The sequence below is a fragment of the Homo sapiens genome, chromosome 8 (assembly GCF_000001405.40).
Source record: "Homo sapiens chromosome 8, GRCh38.p14 Primary Assembly".
Lineage (NCBI taxonomy): Eukaryota > Metazoa > Chordata > Mammalia > Primates > Hominidae > Homo > Homo sapiens.
This window is the reverse complement of record NC_000008.11, coordinates 40,928,788-40,934,824: the sequence shown is the minus strand read 5'-3', so window position 1 is coordinate 40,934,824 and position 6,037 is coordinate 40,928,788. Positions and strand designations below refer to the sequence as shown.

Sequence of the window (6,037 nt, the reverse complement as noted above, 5' to 3'; positions counted from 1 at the left end):
TTTCATTCCTCGCAGGACCTGACTCAAGACTAGACCCATGCTAGACGGTCAGTAAAGGCGGAGAGGAACAAAAAAGTGTGGAAATGCTTCCTTCCGTTCCTCACACTCGCTTTACAGAATGAAGGAAGAAAACTGTTTAACTTTAGGAGAAACCTTCAATCATTTCCTTCTGCTCTCTTCTGATTTCCTCTCCCCACTCTTCTAAAGGACTTAGGATGTGAAGGGAGAGTGGGGGGCGTTTCCAGGTACCTCTCAGAAAGTCACTGCCTCCTCTGCTGTTTCTCCAGCTCCTCTCCCCTCTTTTTGCTGTTCTCTGTCCTCTCTGGTGCCCACGTCACACACCCTCATGAGCAGCGTGCATCCTTCATCTCCCTCGTTCTTTCTGTCTACACACACATGCACACACACATGCATACACAGGCACATACACAGGTACACACACACACGCATGCAACTCCTTCAAGAGGGTAGACCGGTGTTGGAAGGGGGGCTGTAAGGGCCCGGTGTCTTGCTCTTCTGAATGCGGGATTCTCTGTCTCACCAGAAGGGAGATGCTACCAGCGTTTCCCAGTCCCCCCCATGCCTCCTGCCAATTTTTGTGTTGTCGGTGGCTGCCAAGTGCCTGCAGTGATGTTTCATGAAATAGGGCTCAGAAGCCCTATTCAACGAAAAGTGCCTTGAAAAACGCACTCTCTTGTAAAATAAGTTAGGGGAACATGACTACTCTATTTTCCTCTGGGGAATTCACAATCTGCATGTATATTTAAAGGCTCTGAGAAGTTCTGCTGTAAAGAACCCACTCGTCTTTACCAAACTCAGCTTTTTCTATTTTGTGTTACAGTCCCGCTTACCCTTCAAATCTCCTCCTACACATAACACCATTTACTATCCTGCAGAATCATTTAGGACTCACGGGCTTACAAGTGGGGCAGCACACGGGCAGTGGCTGATGGAGGAGAGGGGAGGCATCAGAAGAGATGCTATGATGGAATCTGCAGTCGCAGTAGCAGCAGTGGTGCCAGGGCCCAGGCTGTCAACCTTCCCCAGGCGCTCAGATCGGTGTGTGACACGGAAGACAGCCGGACGCGCGAGTTGAGTCTCCTCGGGGTATGGAACCGTGCGGGAAGGGGGAGGAATGAAGTATCCTAAGTAGCAACCATGGCTGCGCTGCTGGAGGCCTGACTGTGTTTCTTTCCCTTCTCCTTGTCTCTCGGACATACACCCTCGTCCACCAAGTGAAGGCCCTGAAACATTAAAGCTCAGCCCACAGCTCAGTCAACAGAGGCAAGGACGGGAGAGTCCCGGAGGCAGCCAGGGGACAGAGGAGCTGTAGCTTTGGTATTCTGTTGAGAAAGGCTGCCGGCACCCATATCAATAGACTGATATTCTTCTGATGAAATCTCCCGTGGCCTCAGGGAAGAGCCTGGGAGGCAGAGAACAAGGGAAGCAGCTTGACTTCTCCGGGGCTGATCCTGAGTGTGCAGAGCGGGTCGGCTGCTGCTCTTGGGAGAGACCTGAGGAAAGCCCGTGCTCCTCGGGGAGACTGCAGGAGGCCCTAGCAAGCTTCTCAAGAGCCTTCTCCCCGCTGCCCTTACTTCTTCCCAGCCCCAGCCTCGGGGGCAGCCACGTGGGGGCTGCTGGGGTGGGCCTGGTGCAGCTCTCAATCAGGGGCGTTCCTGCTGCGGCCTGCACCTCTGGGCACAGGCCATGCCCAGGGCGCTCTGCTCTCACGGAAGGCATGGGGAATCTCATGGGACCGCCGAGCTGGCAGTGCAGGGATGGAATCGCTGAGGTGGAAAACGTCGTAAGCTGAGTTGCATTAGGGAGATGGATTTCCTGCTCTTTTCCACGTCTCATAATTAATACAGAAGCCTGAACAGCGTGCATGGCGAGCAGGCCCACAGGAGGTGCTGCGGAAGGGCTGTGGGAAGCCCAGACTCCTCTGAGCGCCTGCTTTTCCTCTTGCGGGGGCGGCGGGCGGCGAGGGTGGGGGTGTGGTTCTGGAATCCATGCCAGCTGCAGATATTCCTGGTCTGATGACGAGAGACCGAGGAGGCAGGGTGCACGGCACACACACAACCTCAAACAGCCGGGCCTTCTCCTCTGCCTGTGGCACCTGCTTCTCCATTTCCCACAGCAGCCCTGACAGCTGCTTGTTCCCAAAGGCAAGAGAAGGGAGGTGGGCACGGGGTGTCTTATTATTGTGAGCATGGTGCATGCGGGGCCCGATGGGGACTGGATAAGGGTACAGTGGAAAGGGCTGTGCCTGTGGGGCCTGAGAAACGTAGGTTCAAATCCTGGCTCCACCACTTCCTGGTGTTTGGCAGGTGATTCACTTCTAGAGTTTCTGCGTCTTCATTTGTAAAGCTGGAGCATGATACCTGCACTCATTTATTTAATGAACAATATGAATATATGTAAATCCACACTGAAGTGTATTCTAGGTGCTAAAAGTAAAGCAGTGAACAAAATATAAAGTCTCTCCTCTTAGGATTTTTGTTTGTTTGTTTTTGAGGCAGGGTCTTACTCTGTTGTCCAGGCTGGAGAGCAGTGGTGCTACCATAGCTCACTGCAGCCTCCAACTGCCAGGCTCAATCAATCCTCCTACCTCAGCCTTCCAAGCAGCTGGGACTACAGGTGTGCCACCATGCCTGGCTAATTATTTTGTTTTATTTTTTGTAGAGTCTCCCTATGTTGCCCAGGATGGTCTCAATCTCTGGGCTCAAATGATTCTCCCACCTTGGCCTCCCAAAGTATTGGGGTTACAGGGATGAGTCACCATACCTGGCCATAGCATGTTTATATTCTAATGTGAGAGGGTGAAAAACTCAATAAATAAATATATGATGTATCAGGTGGTAATAATACTATGAAGAAAAATAAACAGGATAAGTAGATTGAGAGTGACAGTGATGTGTGTGTGTGTGTTCATGGGAAGGGTTTTTTTTTATCTTTTAAGAATGGGCAAGGAAATTATCTCTGATGGGTGATACTTGAACAGAAACTGGAAGAAAGTGAGGTTCCATGTAGATGTCCAGGCACAGGCAAGAGCAAGGTCAAAGATGCCAAGTGGAAGAGCGCCTGGTGTGTTCAGAGAGCATGGACACCCTCAGTGTGAGGACCAGAGGTTTATGTCCTCTCAGACGCATGCAGGGAAATCCCAACTCTCCAGGTGATGACATGAAGAGGCGGGGCTTTTGGGGGGTGACTAGGAATAGGATTAGTGCCCTTATAAAGGAAACTCCAGAGAGATCCCTTGCCCCTTCTGCCCTGTACAGTTACAGTGAAAAGCCAACCATCTATGAACCCGAAGGCAGGCCCTCACCAGACACTGAATCTACAGAAACCTTAATCTTGGACTTCCCAGCCTCCAGAAATAAATAAAAGAAATAACTTTTTTGTTCATATGCCACCCGGTCCATGGTATTCTTTGGTATTCTTTTGTTTTGTTTTGTTTTGTTTGTTTTTTTGAGACAGAGTCTCACTCTGTCACCAGGCTGGAATGCAGTGGTGCGATCTTGGCTCACTGCAACCTCCACCTCCCAGGTTCAAGCAATTCTCCTGCCTCAGTCTCCCGAGTAGCTGGGACTACAGGCAAGCACCACCACACCCAGCTAATTTTTGTATTTTTAGTAGAGATGGGGTTTCACCATATTGGCCAGGATGGTCTTGATCTCTTGACTTCGTGATCCACCTGCCTCAGCCTCCCAAACATGGTATTCTGTTATAGCAACCAGAATGGACTAGGACACTCTGTGTGTCTAGAGTAGAGGGAATGAGGAGAAAGTAGAGAAGAGGGTAGAGAGATTGTGTGTGTGTGTGTGTGTGTGTGTGTGTGTGTGTGTGTGTGTACAGGGAAGTCAGGTCATGTGGGCCTTGCATAATTACTTTAAGGGAAATGGACAGTCATTGGAGGCTTTGAGCAGAGAAATAACATGGCTTGACATACATTTTAGAAGCATCACTCTGGCTGCTGAGTGGAAAGGAGATTTTAAGACTGCTGTTGGGGAAGGAGGAAGACCAGTTGGGAGGCTGCTGCATCTTCAGGTGAGAGATGGTGATAGCTTGGATTATGGAAGTAGTGATGGTGTTAAGAAATAGTCAGGATCTGGATATATTTGGCATTTAGAAGCTAAAAGACTTCCTGATGGATGGATGTGGAGTGTGTGTATTGTGAGACACAAAGAATGCCTTCAAGGCTTTGTCCTGAGCAGCTAGTAAAATGGAGTTGTCATGAACCAAGATGAAGAATCTGCTGGAAGGAGACTGTTTCCATTGTGGCGGGGGCTGAGATCAAACGTTTGGCTTGAGGCATGTTAAGTTGCAGGTGCCTATTAAACATCCAAATGGAGGTGTTGAGTAGGCAGGTGGATGTGAGAGTCTGAGCCTAGGGGAGAGACTGGGGCTGGGATATAAAGTTGGGAATCACCAATTTGTAAGTAATTTTTTAGATCTTGGGACTGCATGAGATCATAAGGAATGCATTAGGATAGAGAAGAGAAAAGGTCTGTGGAATACTCCAGTGTTTAGAAGTCAGAAAAATGAGAAGGAGCCAGCAGGGGAATTTAGAAAACATGCTAAAGACAGGCATGTACATAGCACAGAGCAGGAACTCAGTTAAAACCCAGCCACCACCATCATCATAATCATCCCAATATTTATGGTTCGACTACTGGAAAAAATAGTTTTAAGCAAAAATAGCAAGTGTGCAGGAGGGTGTACCTCACCCACATTTTGTCTGTTTTCCTTCTCTCTCCTTTCTAGCTCCCGATTACTCATGGCTTCAGACTTCCATCAATTTAATAAAAACAAAACAATGGAGTGAAGACTGAAAAATTACCTATTGAGTACCATGTTCACTGTTTGGATGATGGGTACACTGAAAACCCAGACTTCATCAGCATGCAGTATATGCATCTAAAAGCTCTGCACTAAATATTTGTGAAAAAGAAGACAAAACAGGCAATAAAATAATTCTGACATATTAAAACAGCCAGCCTATAACTCAGTTCAAAATATTCGAGCAAAGCTGAGGTCTTTGGGTAGTTGGTAGGGTGAGTAATAACTGAATGGGGTGACAATGAGGAGAGTCAGGAGGGCTAAACATGGCTTCCACCTCTTGCCAAAGCCTGGTGTGGCTGCAGCCGAACCATTTCGTGCCTCCTATCCTTGAGGAGGGTGGAGACCACCATTCAGATAGGAAGATGGATCATACTTCTCATATGGCATCTGCGCCATTTGCTTTTCTGGTTTCCAAGGCATCTGGATCCTATCCTCAATTATCAATGTAAGATAACGGTGCTCTTGTTTTTCTTCTGAGAGTTTCACCTAGAATTGTTGCCCATTTAGTACCCACATTATGTGGTGAGAGAAGTGCCATCTAGGGGTGACTGTCCAAAGTCCCACATCCCATCCACCCCTGTAAGCACTCTGAGACCTGTGATCTTAGCAGACCATCAGAAGGCAAATTTCTTGAAAGATATTCATTTGTTTTCTTACATAATTACCTTCCTTGGATTGCATTTTGAGAATCATGCCCTTGGCTTTAATTAAACGTGCTAGAAACAGTCATGCAGAGTTCACTGCTACATTTGCAGAAGAACTATGGTCGCAGACACCATCCTATACCATTCTGGAAAAGCCTTTTCCAAGTGTGTTTTGTGGAGTGCAAGTCTGCAAGACACTAATAAAAATGTCACTATGTGCCGGGCACGGTGGCTCACCCCTGTAATCTCAGCACTTTGGGTGGCTGAGACGGGCGGATCACCTGAGATCAGGAGCTCCAGACCAGCCTGGCCAACATGGCGAAACCCAGTCTCTACTAAAAATACAAAAAAATTAGCCGGGTGTGGGGGTGGGCGCCTGTAATCCCAGCTGCTGAGGAGGCTGAAGCAGGAGAATTGCTTGAACCCAGGAGGCAGAGGTTGCAGTGAGCACTCTAGCCTGGGCGAGAAGAGTGAAATTCCATTTCATGAAAAAAAAAAAAAATTCTTCATGGGGAAAGGTTAGAAAGTTTGCGAAAAACAGGGATGATTTT

General features: G+C 48.2%; 1 long non-coding RNA gene across 1 annotated transcript; it reads left to right on the top strand.

Annotated features, from left to right (window-relative positions):
• The first annotated feature begins 916 nt into the window (after positions 1-916).
• Positions 917-4,957, top strand: LOC105379390 (uncharacterized). Its single transcript, XR_949704.2, has 3 exons — positions 917-1,107; positions 3,957-4,047; positions 4,765-4,957. It is a non-coding gene; the product is annotated as an uncharacterized LOC105379390 (long non-coding RNA).
• The last annotated feature ends 1,080 nt before the right edge of the window (positions 4,958-6,037 follow it).